General features: G+C 41.5%; 1 protein-coding gene and 1 long non-coding RNA gene across 22 annotated transcripts in view; one reads left to right on the forward strand and one right to left on the reverse strand.

Annotated features, from left to right (window-relative positions):
• The window catches only part of ABLIM1 (actin binding LIM protein 1), a 370,264-nt gene that overhangs the window by 333,304 nt on the left and 17,648 nt on the right, over positions 1 to 19,312 (reverse strand). For 6 of the 21 annotated variants that reach the window (XM_017016255.2, XM_017016250.2, XM_017016245.2 and 3 more), the window contains exon 1: positions 3,648 to 3,891. The exons of the other annotated variants lie outside the window; for them this stretch is intronic. In XM_017016255.2, coding sequence (XP_016871744.1) covers positions 3,648 to 3,660 — 13 coding nt within the window. In that variant the 5' untranslated portion in view covers positions 3,661 to 3,891. Of the gene's footprint in view, positions 1 to 3,647; positions 3,892 to 19,312 lie in introns of those variants that run through there. 21 annotated transcript variants of the gene reach the window in all.
• LOC101927692 (uncharacterized) lies at positions 375 to 15,490 on the forward strand. The gene is made up of 3 exons (NR_120628.1): positions 375 to 579; positions 11,529 to 11,748; positions 13,538 to 15,490. It is a non-coding gene; the product is annotated as an uncharacterized LOC101927692 (long non-coding RNA).

The following is a 19,312-nucleotide window of genomic DNA, read 5'->3' on the forward strand; positions in this document are numbered from 1 at the left end:
CCAAGCTGGAGTGCAAAGTCGCAATATCAGCGATTCTCATGCCTCAGCCTCCCGAGTAGCTGGGATTACAGGCGTGTGCCACCATGCCCGGCTAATTTTTGTATTTTTAAGAGTGATGGGGTTTCACCATGTTGGCCAGGCTGGTCTTAAACTCCTGGCCTCAAGTGATCCATCCGCCTCAGCCTCCCAACGTGCTGGGATTACAGGCGTGAGCCACCGCACCCGGCCAATTGATTTCATTGTTTTCTTTTCCTTTTTTTAAACCAACCAGGGACATTTAATTTAAAAAAATACAAGCAAGTTATCCAGGACCTAATCTGCTAAGCAGTGTTCTCCCCAAGAGGATGAAGCCCTGCTGGCTGGCTCTGACATTCAATTCAGACTGAAAACACAGTAACTCCTCTGGCCCTTGCTGGGAAATGTCCTGCGCAGGCCATGGGCAGCACTCCAGTGCAGCTGACCTCCCACAAGGCCCCCAAACACATGATCCCACCAAAGGCTTGAACAGGGGAACCTCACAAGCAGGCAGAGAGCACACCTGAGACACAAGGACAAGTAAGTCAAGCAAATGGGACTGAGGTAAGCAGCCCCAGCCCCTGTCTCCATTGTGTGCCCCCTTAAGGGGGGCTGTTTTCTACTTTTTTCTTTTCTTTTCTTTTCTTTTTTTTGGAGATGGAGTCTCGCTCTGTCTGGCACAATCTCGGCTCACTGCAACCTCTGCCCCCTGGGTTCAAGCTATTCTCCTGCCTCAGTCTCTCGAGTAGCTGGGACTACAGGCATGCGCCACCATGCCCAGCTAATTTTTGTATTTTTAGTAGAGATGGGGTTTCACCATATTGGCCAGGCTGGTCTCAAACTCCTAACCTCATGTTCCACCCACCTCAGCCTCCCAAAGTGACAGGATTACATACAGGTGTGAGCCACTGCGCCCGGCCATTTTCAACTATAAAAAAAAAAAATATTCTATTATTCCTACCATAATCTACAAGCCTAGATATTAGAAATAAGTAGAGATCATTTTAAAAATCAAGAGCATTTATCTTTTCAAGGATCTAAAGGACTTCCTATTGATAAGTTAGGTACTTAAGTAGACACATTAAGCTTCTGGTCCTATAAGCTTATTTCCCCTTTCAGGAGTACAGACAAGAGCAGATGACTGAATTGAAACACCATAGTGAAGCCCACAGTTTTGAAATCTTTTAAAAAATTAATGACAAAAATATACACATTTCTAGACAAACTCAACTCCGTAACTACTAAGCACTCTACTAATCTTTTAGAATTTTTTTTCAAATTCACATAAATAAAAGTGCTGCATAAAAAGATACGTAAAATCCTCAGTCTTTGGTAATGTCTAGGAAATTCTGGTTCTCAACACTGAAATAGGAAGAAAAAACTAGGAATATCAAATTAACAACATCTAGTATCAGCGGCCTTGTTTTCCACACTTTGTCATTACCAAATGCCTACCAAGATGTTTCTAAATGTATTGGAAATTCCAAGTTACTTATCAAGGCTATTTCCTTTCAATGCCATGTCTAAGCCATTCTCTCTCTCTTCTTAGCAAATCAATGATTGTGATGTCTATTACAATATTTGAAGGACTAATAACAGAAGTAGTAAAACAAAGTGGATGTGATCAGAATCAGACAGATTTGGGTAGAAATCAGGATCTGCCATTTACCAAGCTTAGCTCAGGCAAATTTTATAATCTCTCAAAACCTCAATTCCTTCATCTGTAAAATGGGGAGGTAATAACAATAGCTACTTGATTGAGTCATTGTGAGGATTAAATAATGTAACACATGTAAAGTACCTGACACCTAATAAACATACAATAACTGATATTTATTATTATAGATATTTTTCCCTCTACAAGATTAGTCAGACTTCAAACTGTTAAATGCAAGATGACCAACATGAAGTTTGAAGGGGAAATAAGACAACTGAATGAAATGTCTATAGCTGACTCCAAACCATCCTGCTTGAAACTGGGTTGAAGAAGAAATGTTTGAGAACTCAGTCCCATTCCAGGGCTTAGAGCCCCTTAGAATCTCTGGGGCCATCTTCATTTCACATCCTCAGATAAACCCGAGACCCTGGAATAGGAGGGGCCAGAGACTAAATGAAATTGTGTGACGGCCTAACAAACTTGATGCTTCCTAGGGCATACCGAGATTCCACATAGTTACTTGGCCCCTACAGTGTGCAAGGTTCTGCACTAACAGGTTTGGGTGCTGTAAAGCTGAATCAGAAGTGGACTCTGACCTCAGAGAGATTTACAACTTATAAGAGATATTCTCCATATGTTCCTTGTGGTACTTAGGACAGCGGTCAGCACTCAAAGCCTCAGTCTAAGAACATAGTTCAGAGATTGTTATGACTCCATCCATATACACACCAAGTCCCTTATGGTGTTATCTGTTCCATGCTCTTTTTTCGTTCTCTAATATACGTGAATAATTAGGCATGAATAGGCAGGTAGTATCTCAGAGCCCTATGTCACCTCTGCATCCTGGTATCTACAATATAAATTCTGTCATTCCACCAAGTCCTTTCCACCCCATTTCTAGGTACAGATCCAACCAACCATATCGCCAAAGCAATCATCAACAAAGATCAGAGTGCTTGAAAAGGAATTAAAACACTCTGGATAGAGATTACTCTATTCATTATATGCCCCAGGATGAACTCTGAAAAGCAGCGCTTAATTATCCAACACGTTATCAAATTCCTAAACTCCTTCCAAAAAGCAGGATTAAAGCTTCGGAGTTTAAAATAAAAAATAAAAAAACAACTCCGCAACTCCTCTTACAGGTTGCCTTCAGGGTATCAAAAGGGGTGGCACTTACTGCTTTGCAAATACACTTTCTAAAAATAATCAATATTTTCTTTAAATGCTTACGGCAAAGCAACCAATTCACTTCATTTTAATTGCTCGCAAGCTGCAGAATGACTTGATCTCTTTAATATTTCACTCATACTAGCAGCCACTGAGCTATGACTAACCCACTCTCCCCAGCATCGTCGCTGGCTCCAGATGGCAAGAAATACATTCCCTTTATTCTTGCCTGAAAAGCAATTCTGATTTTTTTTTCTTCCACCCATTTCACCTGCAGTAATTGTTTTACTCCAGAAAGAAAATGGGTGGGGAGTGGAAGGGGAGATTCATGCAGAGGGGAGTACAGGTGGGGAATTTACTTTTTTTTTTTTTAATGGGGTGTAAGCACTGCAGCTTTAAATCGTGCTGCCTCAAGCCCTGGATTTCTTCCATAGCCGAGCTGCAAAATGGTAACTAGAAAGGAGGAAAAAATACCTCTTCCTCCCTCCTGGCCAGCCCTTCCACAGCTCCCGGCAGGGCAGCCAGCGCGAGCCCATCCCCCACGCCTCCCAGCCCAGACGCGCGGCGGGCACAGGTGAGCGGGGCGCCGACTTTGGCCCTTAGGCTCGCCCACATCCGGGGATCAAGGTCAAGGGCGAGGGCTTCCTTCCCCTGCCCCCGGCCCCCGGCAGCCCCGAGCCCGGGGATCCGCTGCCAAAGTTTCAGGCCGGGCTGGGGCCGGCGCGGCTGTCGCAGCCCCCCCGCCCTCCCGCACCTGTTCGGCCCGCCGGGGTCAGTGGACGGTGCCCACCTGGTCCCCACTCACCTCTGGCGGACATGGTGCAGGCAGCGGGAGCCGGAGCTGGAAGGCGTTGGACAGCCCCGCAGGGCGCGGGGAAGAAGGCAGCCCCGGAGCGCCCGCCCGGCCCCGGCCCCCTCCGGCTCCCGGTGCGGGGACGCCGCCCGCAGGACACCTGGCCGCCCGCTCCGCGCAGCAAGGCCGACGGGCGGGGACGCAGCGGCCGCAGGGACCCGCCGGGCGCGGCAGCGCTGACACCCGCGGCCGCGCTGGGCGGGGCGCGCCTCCCCCGCCCCGAGCCGCCGGGGCCCACCCGGGTCCAGCAGCCGCTCTGCCGCGGCGCCGGGCGGGGCTCTGTCCCCGAGGAACGAGGGTCTGCGTCCTCCCCTCTCCCCGCCCGTCTTCTTAATAAGAAGAAAAATAACGTGGGTGCTCCGAATGGCTCTCCAGCTCTCTGGTCCCAGAGAGAGAAAGCAAGAAAGGGCCGTTCGTTCCTTCCCCTAAGTGATGCCCTTGACAGGAGAGCGAAGACCACGGTCGCCTGAGGGGGCTCAGCCCGCAGTCCACACGCGGGGACCGACCCACCAGCCCCTCCGAGTCGGCCAGGCTCTCGGAAAGCCTATGGGCGGGGTGGGATGGGGCGGGACTTTTCCTCCAGCGACCCTCGAGTCAGCGGGGGGCGTCAGGGTCCCCCCACCCAGCACCCGGTCTTGAGCCAACAGACACTCAAGGGAGGTCTGTGCATACACTTGATTTACTGCATCAACTCTGAAGAGTCGGGGCTGGGCCGGGCTGGTGACCACTCTGAACAAATCCCCTTTTTCTATATGTCAGGATAAAAAGGAGAAAATACAACAAAAACCTCTTAGTGCCCTGGAGGTTTATCAACTAGCGCTTGATGCTAATAAGCAACATAATAAAAAGCCACCAGATCTAGAAATTCTAACTAAAAAGGTGGGATTCCACTCTCACGCCCTGTCCTCTCTTCCTCTGTGCACTCTCAAAACAGATGTTCTATGGCCGGGTGTGGTGGCTCACTCATGTAATCCCAGCACTTTGGGAGGCTGAGGTGGACGGATCACTTGAGGTCAGGAGTTCAAAACCAGCTTGGCCAACATGGTGAAACACTGTCTTCAATGAAAAAAAAAAAAAAAAAAAAAAAAGCAAATTAGCAGGCCTTGGTGACCGGTGCTTGTAATCCCAGCTACTCGGGAGGTTGAGGTATGAGAATCGCTTGAGGTGGAGGATGCAGTGAGCCGAGATCACGGCACTGCACTCCAGCCTGGGTGACAGAGCAAGACTCCATCGAGATAAGAAAGAAAGAAAAAGAAAGAAAGAGAGAAAGAGACAGACAAGAAAGAAAGAAAAGAAAGAAAGAAAGAAAAGAAGGAAAGAAAGAAAGAAAGAAAGAAAGAAAGAAAGAAAGAAAGAAAGAAAGAAAGAAAGAGAAAGAAAGAAAGGGAAGGAAGAGAGAGAAGGAAGGAAGGGAAGGAGAAAAGAAAGGAAGGAAGGAAGAAAGAAAGAGAAGGGAAGAAAGAAAGAAAGAAAAGAAAGAGATGTTCTAGTTGTTTTCTATGTTGGCACTGCCCAAATCCATCCTGATGTGATGGGAATTGTATGGAATTGTATAATAGTTCTGACAATTCAGAAATATTAAAAAATAGGTGAACGTAATTCTTTCAGAAAAAATAATTGATGGATAATTGAGCATTGTTGAAAAAAACCCAACCAAATGATCATGTGGGAAAGGAAATACTAGAAAAAAGATTTGTAATGGGAATAGAAATTCTCAGATTCAAATGCCAACTACAAAAATCAACTCATTATTTATCCATCTTGACAACATCCCTTTCACTGTCTTTTAGGCAGAAAACTTGCCAGTGAATCACAATTCAGTTGCTTCAATCTCAAAACAACTCTCCTCTCCCACTATCCTCATTCCACTCTTAACCTTTCTCACCTAAAGCATGATCACAGGAATAGCCTGGTTGCCCTGCCTACATTCAGCCTCCAGCCTCCACTGCCTCCCTACCACCCACCCCCCAGGTTTATTTTGCCCATTACCTTGAGAATAATTTTTCTATTTATAACATGACTAGTTCATGTTCTACTATGAGGTTATTAGTGGGTCCTCACTGATCTCCAGATACAGACTGAACATTTCAAACTGTCTTCATCCAAGCAATTAATTCATCCAGCAAAATTTTATTGAACACATATTATGTACCAGTCTCTAGGGTAGATACTAGGGTTACAATGGTGAACAAGATAGACATGATCTATGCCCACACAAAGCTTAGAGTCCACTGAAATTTTAAGGTCCTTCATAATCTGTGCTTTCCTACCTTGCCAGTGCCATCTCTAGCTACTCCCTACTCAAACATTTTACTGTAGACAGACTATTTTTCCCTCTGTTTCTCAACAAGATAATATGTTTCCTGTCTCCCTGCCTTTACTCATTCTCATTTTTCTTCCCCAGTGTCCTCCTCCCCACCCAAGTTAACTCATATAACATCTTATGAAAGGTTCTCCTTCTACCTTAACCCACAGTGATCTCGTTCAATCAACTTCTGTGGCATTTACTTTCAGAATCACCTGTTTTTACTTAACACACTGCTTTCTGCTGCTGTTTAATGGTTTTGTTGTAAGTCTTTTCTATCTCCCCAAATCTCCTTGAAATCAGGGACTTGGCCAGTCTTGTCGAATTGAATTTGTTCTGGAAGTATACAGAACATATGTTATATCAGATATCATACTAGTAAGATAGAGAGGTCCCAGAACTGTGTGCCTTCTTTTTAATATTTATTTATTTATTTGAGACAGAGTCTCGCTCTATCACCCAGGTTGGAGTGCAGTGACACCTCTTGGCTTACTGCAACCTCCACCTCCCGTGCTCAAGTGATTCTCATGCCTCAGCCTCCTGAGTAGCTGGGATCACAGGCACGTGCCACCACACCTGGCTAATTTTTGTATTTTTAGTAGAGACGGGGTTTTACCATGTTGGCCAGGCTGGTCTCGAACTCCAGGCCTCAGGCAAACTGCCCGCCTCGGCTTCCCACAGTGCTGGGATTACAGGCATGAGCCACCGCACCCGGCCTATTCTTTTAAGTAATATCTAGTCTTTTTCTCTAACTGCCACAATAGTTCTGGTTCTTATAACCTCATAGCAGAATTACAGATACAGTGGCAAATTCCTAATAATGAACAGATCTTACTCTTGTCCTTAAGATGCTTGTAATAGACTACACAGATGATTATAAAATTCACTCCTAGATGTAAGTCTCAAATAAGGCACCTTTCCCAATACTGTTAGGCACATAGCAAGTACTCCGTGCCTGCCTGACTGGCAGGTTGCAAAATGGTAAGTTTGCTATCAAAGGTCATCTTTAGCTAAAAAGAGGTTTCCCTATGTATTTAGCTTTAGTCTTCTTCAGGTTAAGTATATATTTTAAAATATATGTGATTTTCTTACATTTTGGAGTTGTGATATATGGAAATGACATTTTAGGGCCACTCACATCATCTCAGAATCTCTTTCTATAATCTCAGAAATCTGAAACCAATTCTTCCAATCATACAGCAACCAAGTTTGTTAATGGCTTGAATCTCCTAACAAATGTCTCATCTGAAATAACTGAGAATACTTTAGAAATCATTGTAAAAGCAAATTGTAAAGTGCAAGGAATTTTAGGAGACATAGTAAATGCCACTTTTTAAAGTCAGGAAATAAAGTACAATCTATTGGTTGAAACCAGAGGAAAAATTTATATAGACCAAAGGGATGAAACACATTCCAGTCTGTGTTTGAAAAAAAGAGGTTCCTATTTGACTCTTGCCAAAAATGCTCTTTTAATTTCTAATGGAAGGAAAGGTAATGTACATTATTAACATTTTTTCTTTATTGATTTTTTAAATAATTGAATATTGAGTCTTACTCCCACAGCTTTTCAGCTGCCAACTCATCATCACTTCTCATTCTGAACCTAAGCTTCTCATGAGTAGCATGAGAATAATTCTTCTTTCTGCATAACTTCAAGCTTAAAGGCACACTGAACTACTCAATGGTTTTTAATCAAATACCTTTATAATACCTACTATGTAATAGGCAATGAGGAAGTCCTGGCAAACAAGTTAGAAAAGCAGTATACAAGGTGGAGAAGCTAAGCCTGAGAGTCTTCATTAAGCCAGGCCACTAAAGGGGGATAAAATGACCTCAGATTAGTCATATCCCTGGCTCCCGAGAGAAGCAAACTAAAATTCTTTTTAAATACTTCTTTTTTAGTAAAAGCATCCAACAGTGGCTCATGCCTGTAATCCCAGCACTATGGGAGGCCAAGGTGGAAGAATCATGTGAGCCCAGGAGTTTGAGACCAGCCTGGACAACATGGCAAAACCCTAACTCTACCAAAAAAAAAAAATTTAAATTAGCCAGGTGTGGTGGCTTGTGCCTGTAGTCCCAGCTATTTGGGAGTCTGAGGTGGGAGGATCACTGGAGCCCAGGAGATTGAGGCTGCGGTGAGCTATGATTGCATCACTGCACTCCAGCCTGGGTGACAGAGTGAGACCCTGTCTCAAAAAAACACAAAAACCTTCATCAGTGTAGACCCCAAGGATTCCACAAATAAAGATCAAGCAAACATGAGGTCATAATAAAAGATGCCAAAATACACAGGAAAAGAAGCCATGCTGAGTGAGAGTCAGCAGAAACAACAAATAGATACTAAGTAGTTTGGGTATTATAATTCCCAGATAATACATATAAAACAAGAGATAAAATATATATAAAGTAACAAAAAAATAACAAAAGATACACATCACAAAACTAAGCCAACACCAGACTATCAAAAATGACCAAGTAAATTTCAAAAAGAACCAAATAGAAATAACAACTATCAACTATAGAAATTTTAAAACTCATTGGATAGATAAAACAGACAAACAGAACCAAAGATTTAGTGAATTGGAAAGTAGATATTAAAAAGCCACTAGAAATACAGCTCCAAAATATTGGGAGATGAATAATGCAAAATAGAGGTTAAGATATATTGACAATAGGATAAGAAGATCTAATTTATAAATAATAGGAGTCCTAAGAAACAATTTTAAAATGGAGAAAAGACTACATTTGAAGGAAAAACAACTAAGAATATTATAAAATACATATATCAATAAAGGAAATACAATATATACCAGGTTGGATGAATAAAAAGAAATCTAGACCTAGACACACTGATATTGAAACTGAACAACACTAAAAACAAAGATAAGATCTAAAAAGCAGTCAAAGAGAAAGGACATAGCCTAGGAACAAAACAGATTGATAACAGACTCAAGGGAAAGGATAAAAGCCATGAGACAACAGAATTCTGATTAGCCTATAATTGTTCATTTAAAATTTCACGAATAGGCCAGGCGCGGTGGCTCATGTCTGTAATCTCAGCACTTTGGGAGGCCAAGGTGGGTGGATCACTTGAGGTCAGGAGTTCAAAACCAGCCCAGCCAACACGGTGAAACCCTGTCTCTACTAAAAATTTAAAAATTAGCTGGACATGGTGGTGCATGCCTGTAATCCCAGCTACTCAGGAGGCTGAGGCAGGAGAATAGCTTGAACTCAGAAGGCGGAGGATGCAGTGAGCTGAGATTGCGCCACTGCACTCCAGCCTGGGCTACAGAGAGAGACTCCGTCTCAAAAACAAACAAACAAAACAAAAAAATTGCATGAACAGCAAAAATATCTTTCAAAAATGAGGGCAAGATAGATATTTTAAGACAGATATTGAGTGTACCACTAATAAAATTTCTGTATCATTTATATATAAATATATATGTAAATATATAAATATATTTATGTAGAGTAAAATGACCACCATTAAAAAGTATGAGATAGAAGCAAGAATGAGGAAAAAAGAAATTTGTTTACATAGAAATAAATCCAACTAAATATCAATACATTTGAAATGAAGAACTAGGATAAAATGTGGTTCTTTGAAAAGAATTAACAAAATGAATGACCTTTAGTGAAACTAAGAAAAAAAAGAAAGAATAAATAAAGAGTATTAGAAAGACACCCTTAACTACAGTTAGAAGAGAGATTTAAATGAGATTATAAACTGGAATTCTGCTTTTGGCCATGATGAAGTAATAATTAGACTTGTCTTCCCAAATCAAACAACAAAACTGAAAAAAATACATGAAACAACTATTTTTAGTTATTGGACAACAGGCAGCCCAGGACAGTGGTTCTTGAGAAAACAGAAGCAAATAAAGTGAGTCCTATGAATGCCATGGCTTCTGACTAGAGGAAACTCCCAGGCTACAGGTGGAGGGAGGAGAAACCCAGACAGAGCTCAGTGGTCTCACTGAGTTTAGGAGAAAACAAGCATGGTCCCGAGAGGCCATGGTGGATGGAAGTTGTGGGATAAGTGCCCAGAGGAAACTATGTGGAGAAAGAGCTACAGGAATCTACAGAAGAGTGTTCTTGAGACCTTACTGATTCCTAAGCTGCACATATACCGGGTGAAGTTCCACGAGGATAGGTAAAATGAACAAATATTTGAAAGCTGCCCATTGGTAGGGCTCCTACAACTGAGAAAAAAGTTGGACTGAAAAACAAGAGACAGAGTTAAACAGAGTAATAAGTAATCTAGTCCAAAGCCAGGGCAGAATGTGAAACTTGGAAGGACCTCTAACCTAGACATGAGGGCTAGGGGCAGCATTTGGTAGAGCAGAGCAGAGATGTTAAATATTTTAGATGTAGGCTCTGTCATAAAGGAAATCAGTACAAGGGAACCAAGGCGGAGATAAGAATGAATTCTAGTCCCTAGCAGAAGCCAGGGGAAAAAAAGTACTAGATGTCCAAAGATGCCCATGCCAGGAACTAGTTTCCTGAAACAAAACAAAAAACACAGGTGTATTGTCCGTTCTCACACTGCTATAACGATACTACCTGAGTCTGGGTAGTTTATAAAGGAAACAGGTTTAATTGACTCACATTTTGGATGACTGGGGAGGCCTCAGGAGACTTACAATCATGGAGGAAGGTGAAGAGGAAGCAAAGACCCTCTTCACATGGTGGCAGGAGAGGGAAAAATGCAAGCAGGGGAAATGCCAGACACTTATAAAACCATCAGATCTCATGAGAACTCACTATCACATGAACAGCATGGGGAAACCGCCCCCATGATCCAATCACCTCCCTCCCTCAAAATGTGGGGATTACAGGTCCCTCCCTCCACACGTGGGGATTACAATTCGAGATGAGATTTGGGTGGGGACACAGAACCAAACCATATCAATAGGGTATTTGAGCAGTTTGAGAATTAGATATGTGGGAGTTCAATGGAATATTTGAGGGATCAGGAGATGCAACTGGTTTATCCTAATCATCAAGGATTATTCCTCTGTTGCTGGATGGTGTCTCTTTAGTTCCAAGAGAGAGGTGAGGCATATTTTAGAAAATGACTGGATTATCATTCTGAATACCATAGATAGACCAGGAAGAGCACATTAGCCACAGTAAGTTCTCAGTGTTCTGCAGATGAATCTATGGGATTATTGAAGACACACGTTTTACAAGCCTTCTCAGTCATTTAGATACATCAAATCATAGTGAATGGAACCTACAACCTAGTGATGGCACTGATTCTTATATTATTGAACTGCTTCATTTAAATTCTTAAGTGACAAGCAGGATATATCATTTGTGACTGAACTCCAAATCTAACATTTGTAAGGCATGAAACATTTTTCTAACCACTAGGACATCAACACTATTTTACCCAAAAAAATCAGAAAAGAAGCATCTAATACAAATTATGTTCCTAATATATAGGCAGAGGGCTGTTGCTAATAGTCAATGGAATGCCAAACTCCTGATGGGATTACATTAACATTTTGATTTGATTGCAGATTAAAGCCAGTGAATAAAACTAAAGGTCACTTTAAAGGAGTATAAAGCTACAGTGGACATAACGTGGCATAGGTGATCTTGACACCACAGAACTGTGAAGCCTGCAATCCTACAATATAGAGGGGTATGAGGAAGACATCTCAGGATACTGAAGAGTGTTGCAGAGGACCCACAAATAGTCCTGAGCATGAGATGGTGGACAACAAACCCATTTTTGGTGTGGGTAAAATCATTAGCGACATCTTTTTCTTTTTTTTTTTTTCAGCAGTTTGAAGATGTGTCATTCCATTTATTTTTTCATAATTTCTGTTAAAAAGACTGCAGCTGCCCTTACTGTTGTACCTTTGAAGGTAAAGCATATTTTTTCCTTTGTTAAAAAACGTAGTTTTGGGCCGGGCGTGGTGGCTCATGCCTGTAATCCCAGCACTTTGGGAGGCTGAGGCAGGCAGATCACAAGGTCAGGGGTTTGAGACCAGCCTGCCCAACTTGGTGAAACCTCATCTCTACTAAAAATACAAAAATTAGCCGGGTGTGGTGGCACGTGCCTGTAGCCGCAGCTACTCGGGAGGCTGAGGCAGGAGAATCGCCTGAACCCAGGAGGCAGAGGTTGCAGTGAGCCTAGACTGTGCCACTGCACTCCAGCCTGGGCAATAGAGCAAGACTTAGTCTCAAAAAAAAAATAAAATGGATTTTTATAATACAGTCACGTTCTCCCTCTTTCATCCAGGCTGGAATGCAGTGGTGTGATCATAGCTCACTGGAACTTCACTCTCCTGAGCTCCCGCCTCAGCCTCCCAAGTAGCTTGGACTACAAGAATGCCAGCTATGGGATGCTCAACTAATTTTCCTTTTCCCTGTAGAGGCAGGGTCCAACTATGTTGCCTAGACTGATTTTGAACTTCTGACCTCAAATGATCCTGCCACCTTGGCCTCCCAAAGTGCTGGGATTACAGGTGTGAGCCATCACACCCAGCCTAAAATGTTTTTTAATTTTTGGTTTTCATCAGTTTGACTATGATATACCTATGTATAAGTTTCTTTTATTCTACTTAGGTTGCACTTGTCTTTTAAATCTTTTAAATATTTTTTCTGCCCCGTTCTCTATCCCCACCCTCTCCAATTATAAATATGTTAGACTGCTTGTCTATGCCCCACATGTCTCTTTTGCCCCATTTTTTTCTTCCATGATTTTTTCTGTTTCAATTTGGATCATTTTTATTGACCTGTCCTCAAATAGATTAACTCTTTCTTTGCTGTGTTCTGCCTGTAAAACTCACCCAAAGTGTTCTTAATTTCAGATAGTGTCCTTTTCATTTCTAAAATGTGTTTTTGATTCTTTCTAGTAGATTCTACCTCTGTTGAATTTCTCTCTCTTTTCATGTTTTTCCATATTTTTTCTATTTTGTTTAACTTATTAATCATAATTATTCTTAGAGTCCTTGTCAGTTAACTCAAGTATATCAACCATCTGTGGCTTTGCTCATATTGTCTGCTTTTTCTCTTGGTTATTGGCCATATTTTCCTGCCCCTTCACAAATTTTGTAATTTTAATTGCATGCCAAACATTGTATATAAAATAATTGAGGGTAACTGGCCATGTATTTATGGCAGGATGCCTCCTCCTAGTGGGACTTTGTCTCTTAAGTACCATGAAATTGGGATATTTCACTCTGCCTCTCTGGCCAAGTCTCCCAGCCTCCTGCATCACCCAAGCATCAGCATATGCTCCTGTGTGTTCAGTTCTACACTAGTTTATAATCTGTCAAGCCAGCCCCACGCAAGCACCAAGAGTCCCTCTAGTCAAGCATGATTCTTAGTCTTCACTCAGAACTGACAAAAATCCCCAGGGAGGAAAATGGCCAGAGATTGTCAGCTCCCTTAGGAAGTACTCCCCTCTCTCTGCAATGTTAGTTCATATGGTGTTCATTGTTTCCACAGCTCTCTCACTAAGGTCTCTCACTAAATCTTTTGCACTATGATTTTGGTAACTTATCCTTCTTTTTCTTAGGTGTTGCAGCAAGAGCGCTGGCCTGCCATGATCTGCTACATTCTACCTGGAAATACAAGTCAGAAGTCAGCCTGTCATATTTTTTCAAAAGGTGACTTGTCAAAATGAGACTTCTTTCATAAAATCAGTCTGGTTGGGCATGGTGGCTCACGCCTGTAATCCTAGCACTTTGGGAGGCTGAAGTAGGTGGATGGCTTGAGCCCAGGAGTTTGAGACCAGCCTGGGCAACATGGCAAAATCCCATCTCTACAAAAAATACAAAAATTAGCCGGGCATAGTGTCACACACCTGTGGTCCCAGCTACTCAGGAGACTGAGATGGGAGGATCACCTGAGCCCGGGAGGTTAAGGCTGCAGTGAGCCAGGATTGGGCCACTGCACTACAGCATGGGTGACAGAGTGAAATGCTGTCTCAAAAAACAACAACAAAAAATCTCTCAATCTGTCCAAATAGTTAGATTGTCTTCAGTAATCTTTCCATCGCGATCTTGCTTTGTTTCTACTACTACTCTGATGCTACATAATTAAGGTCACCAATCGTTGTCACTGTCTTTCCAAACCTGTTGTTCCTTACTTCCTCCGGCCATTCTTCCTTGTCCCCCTCCCATTCATCATCCAGACACACACACACACACACACACACACACACACACACACACACACATACATTTTAACAATACCAAACTCCTTGTAGTTCCCCTAAATGAATCATGTTGTTTCCCTTACCTGAAATGCCCAATCCCTTTTTTATTTTCATTGCTAACTCCTCTCATCTTTCCAGAGTGTTCACGTCTACCAGGAGTGTTCTTGTCCCTCCCATTCCTTTCTACTCTAGCTCCACTCACAGTTCTGTGTAATCCCATCTTGTGGACTAACCCGTGTTAAAAAGATTTGTTTGCTGATTTGATTCTTCCCTCCACTACACCCCCCCATAACACAAAATGAGTCCCTTAAAAGCAGAAATGTTGCCTCACTGGTCTCCAGCACCCAGTGGAGTATTTGGTATGAATGTCGGTCGAACTGTACTCTCTCCAGTGTGCATTTTGTTCCAGGAAGACTAGGTAATAGCAGGAGCATTAGAAGCCTCATCTTCAGGGCTGTTTGACATTGATTTTTTAAAAAATACATTTCCTGAGGTCTCACTAGTGCCAGAATATGAAAAAAATAATCATTCTTCTCTGACTAAAGTGGAATCACCAGTGATTTATTCTCTCCTTAATCAGTAATACTAGCTAACATTTATATAGCCCTCACTAGGTCCCAAGCACTTTGAACATATCATCTTATTTCATGTCTATAACCACCTTCAGGTAGGCACTGTTGTTACCCTCCAATTTACAAAGGAGGAAACTGAAGTGCAGGGAGGTTAAGTAAGTGGCAAGCTAGAATCTGGATACAGGTTGTCTGGTTCCAGGGACCAGGCAGTTAGCCATTATGCTATGCGGCATGATTTCTTGCTTTCCTTGCCCTTTTTTCTTAAATGTTTAATTACATAAGTAGCATATCAATACATTTAAATTGTCAAAAATTCAGAAACAAAGCAAAAACTCACTACTATTTGATGGGTATCTTTCAAGATCTTTTTCTTTGTTTACATACATATATACATTATGTGTGTGTACATATACACAAAGAAATATGTATTTTTATGTAACTGGATTATGCCTTATTTTTCTATAGATTTGTTTTCATTTAACAATTTGTCTTAAAGGTCTTTTCATATCGATGCATATTGATCTATTTTATTCTTTGAATGTTGCATAGTATGGATATATTCCATAGAATGGGTGTAATATAGTTTAGGTAACCATTTTTCTTTTGCGAGTCATTTATGTTGTTTCTGATTTCACTGTTACAAACCAGGCTGCACTGAGTATCCTTGAACATGTCTCTTCACATTCATGCAACTATACGTCTAGGAAAGATCCTCAGAAATAAAATTGTTGGGATGAAGTTTGTGTTGACTTTTTTTTTTTTAATGGTGACTCACATCCTGCCTTCCAGGGAGGCTGTGGCTTTTATTGTTTCATCATTCACATATTAAAAGGGTTGTGTACACTTGGTTGAATTTATGGCAGAGTAAAAAATCATAATAAAATAAATAAAAGGGCTGTGGCTGGAGGTTTTCCAGGAAATCAACTCTCTATAAAAGCACTGCTCACACCCTAACATGCCAAGGAAAGCAAAGGCCTTCTCTCTTCTCCACCTCATCTTTAGGAAAAAGGAATTTTGGCCTGAGTTGCAGAATAAACAGTGTCCTTGAGAGCATACAGTGGGATTCCTGAAAAAGAAGGTGGCAGGCAAGAGGAAGGTGAAACTTTCTGTGGGAAGAAATCAAGTGGCTCTGTCAAAAGACAAAATTACAACCCATTTAGTTAAAGATCTTAATAGGCTTTTATCGGTGACTCTTGAATCAGGCAACAACTCAATCTGTAAATGAGCTGAACAGAGAAGTTTGGCTTTATAGACAAAAAGGGCTGGGGAAGCAGACATAGAGAACAAAAAGTGGATTAGTCATTTTGAAGTTGCTTTCTTCCTAAAGGTTAAAGCAGAGGGGACTTCCTTATCATGCCGGGTAAAACTGGCCTGTTTGGGGATTTGGCTCTCTCTCTCTCCCTGCCACCCCCAACCCCCTGATTCCTTGGAAGTTCAGATAAACACCTTGGTTTTGGTTTGGTGGTGTGAAACTTCAGCAGGAATTATTCCATTTTGCTTTGGTCTGTTGGGCCCAGTGCAGGAGCTCAGTACAAACCAACGGCCTCCTATCAATTTTCCTTCACAGGTCAAAGCTTTCTTACTTCTCTTAGGTTGTTCTTTTCTATGTTTTTTGACTGCATGGTAAAACAAGGCCTAGGAGTTTGAGCCCTTACCCCTGAAAGACCACAGTGGACAGGGCAGGTTCAAGGTTAAAAGATCATGGAGTTCAGGAAAATTTTGTTCTAAGTCCTTAAGGGAGACCAAGAGACTGGAGAGGGTGAGACTACAGGTTTGGGAAGAAGTAGAAAGCAATTGCCTGGAGGGGGCTCCTTGAGCAGAAATCCTCAAGGCTACAAAAAGGTCACTCTGGTAGCCCCGTGGTTGTTAGGGGCAACAGAATCACTTCTCCTGAGAAACAACCAACAAGTATTTGAATAAATGTCTTGCCTTTAATGGTTTTAAAATTTGATGCCAGTACTAATGTTATATAAGTTGTGTATTGTTTGTGTGTACTCTTCTTAGTATTGTAAAGTGATGCTACTCCCTAAATCACCCCCACTTAAAAAAATATAATGGGCCGGGTGCAGTGGCTTAAGTCTGTAATCCCAGCATTTTGGGAGGCCTAGCTGGGCATATCGCTTAAGCTCAGGACTTAAAGACCAGCCTGGGCAACATGGTGAAACCCCATCTCTACCAAAAATACAAAAATTAGCTGGGCGTGGTGGTGCACGTCTGTGATCCTAGCTACCTGGGAAGCTAAGGCAGGAGGATCACTTGAGCCTGGGAGGTGGAGGTTGCAGTGAGCCGAGATCATGCCACTGCACCCCAGCCTGGGTGATGGAGTGAGACCCTGTCTCAAAAAAAGAAAAAAAAAGAAAAATATGTGTGTGTATATATATCTATATATGTGTGTGTGTGTGTGTATGTATATGTGTGTGTGAATATGTGTGTATATATGTATATATGTGTGTGTATATACATATATATGCACGTGTGTGTGTGTATATATATATGCGTGTATATATATATATATATATATATAATTAATGCACCATCCTTCTACTTGCCCTAGGTGCTCTAATGATTGAAAAGGTTTATTTTTAATAAAGATTAAAGTTGCAGAACTCTCTGATATCAAACTGACTAAATTTAGAAGCATATAACAAGAGCCTTATTAGTATCACAGTCTGACCAATTAAATTGCCAAAATCTAAACATGCTCTTTCTGTATCTGTTTGATCAGGAAAAACAAAAGGCACTGTGGTCTGATAGTTTTATTAGTGCTCTTGTCTTTTATCCTATTTGGATCTCCATAAATGTTTCAATTCCTACCAGCAAGATTCACTCCTTTCTTTACTAGTATATTCTTAATAAACCAAAGCATAAAAACTAGGGATGTTCTGCTTAAATCAGGTTACCCATCTGTGATACTAGGAAGTGAGAATATCCTGAGCTTTAACACAGCCACCTTCCAGACACAAGTCTTCATTTAGGAACTACAGAATGCTATAAATTAAATTAAAGTGAAAAATAGTAGCAAAAAAAATTCTGATTTAACATATACCCTGCACCAGGCCTCATGCTAAGAACTTTTTAATACTTTTTCATTATTTATTCCTATTAGATAAATCCTTAGGAATCTTATAGATTCATTTATTCATTCAATCAGGAAATAAACAAGGGGCTGGAATAAAGAACAACAGAAAAGGCAGATTTAAATTGATTGGGTAATTAAGGGAACACAAGGAACTACCCACAGAAAGAGCAAGGAAAAGATCATTTCAGACTAGGGGTGTACATTCAAAAGCTATACGTGAGATGGAGGGCAAGCCTGACACGTTCAGAGACTGGAAAGCCAAAGGCTTGAACAGAACATACATGAGCTTAAATAATCACACTTCAAAAGTTGGAGAGATAAGCAGAGACCAGTTCGAAAACCTGAAATTTGTTTTTTAAACTAAATGTAATGAAAGATCATTTAAAGACTTTAAGCAGACAAATGGTGTGATCTCCACATTTTATGATCAATTTTTACTGCTACATGGAGAATGGATTCGAGGGGAAGAAGAATTGAAGTTCAGAGATTAGTTTGGAGCTGTTACAGTAATTGGGCTGAAAGATGATGGTAGCCCAAAATGTGATGGGAATAAAGCTGAAGAAAAAAAATAAGAAGAATAAGATATTTTGGAGGTAGAATTGACAGGATTTGCCGATGGATTAGACATGAGGCTGAGGAATAGGGAAGAACCATGGATGATGCTTAGGTTTCCGGCTTCAGTGATCAAGTATATTGCAGTTCCGTTTCCTGAAATGGAGGATGCTGGGATGGGGAAGATAAGAAAGGGAAAGGTTTGGCCAGGCACGGTGGCTCACGCCTGTAATCCCAGAACTTTGGGAGGCCGAGGCAGATGGATCACTTGATGTCAGGTGTTCAAGACCAGCCTGGCCAACATAGTGAAACCCTGTCTCTACTACAAATACAAAAATTAGCTGGGTGTGGTGGTGGGTGCCTGTAATCCCAGCTACTTGGAAGGCTGAGGCAGGAGAATTGCTTGAACCTGGGAGGCAGAGGTTGCAGTGAGCCAAGATTGCACCCCAGCCTGGGCAACAGAGTGAGACTCCGTCTCAAAAATAAATAAATAAATAAATAAACATAAAAACTAAAAAAAATAAAAGAGAGAGAAAAAGAAAGGGAAAGGTTTTATGGAACTAAGTTTTGTCAGTGAGTTTGAGATGTCTGCTGTAAGATACCCAGTACAAGTTTAAATGAGTTGTTCCGTGTTTGAGTTTGAATCTTAGAGAGGTCTGGGCTACAGATACAAATCCAAAATTGATCCACATAGTGGTAGTATTTAAATCCATGGAAATTAGTGAGATCATTTATGGAGCTAGCGCATGAAAGGAAGAAGAAAAAGAAGAATGCTAACATGTAACGGTGGGATAGGGGAGTTAAGATAGAAAGAAAACCAGGAGTGGGTGGTATTGAATAAACAACAAAAATAGCATCTTGTGAAGGGAAAAGTGGTCACTTATCTCTCTCGGTGTGCAGGTAAATGTTTAGTATGTGGCTGTCAGGAAA

Source organism: Homo sapiens, chromosome 10 (assembly GCF_000001405.40).
Source record: "Homo sapiens chromosome 10, GRCh38.p14 Primary Assembly".
Classification (NCBI taxonomy): Eukaryota; Metazoa; Chordata; class Mammalia; order Primates; family Hominidae; genus Homo; species Homo sapiens.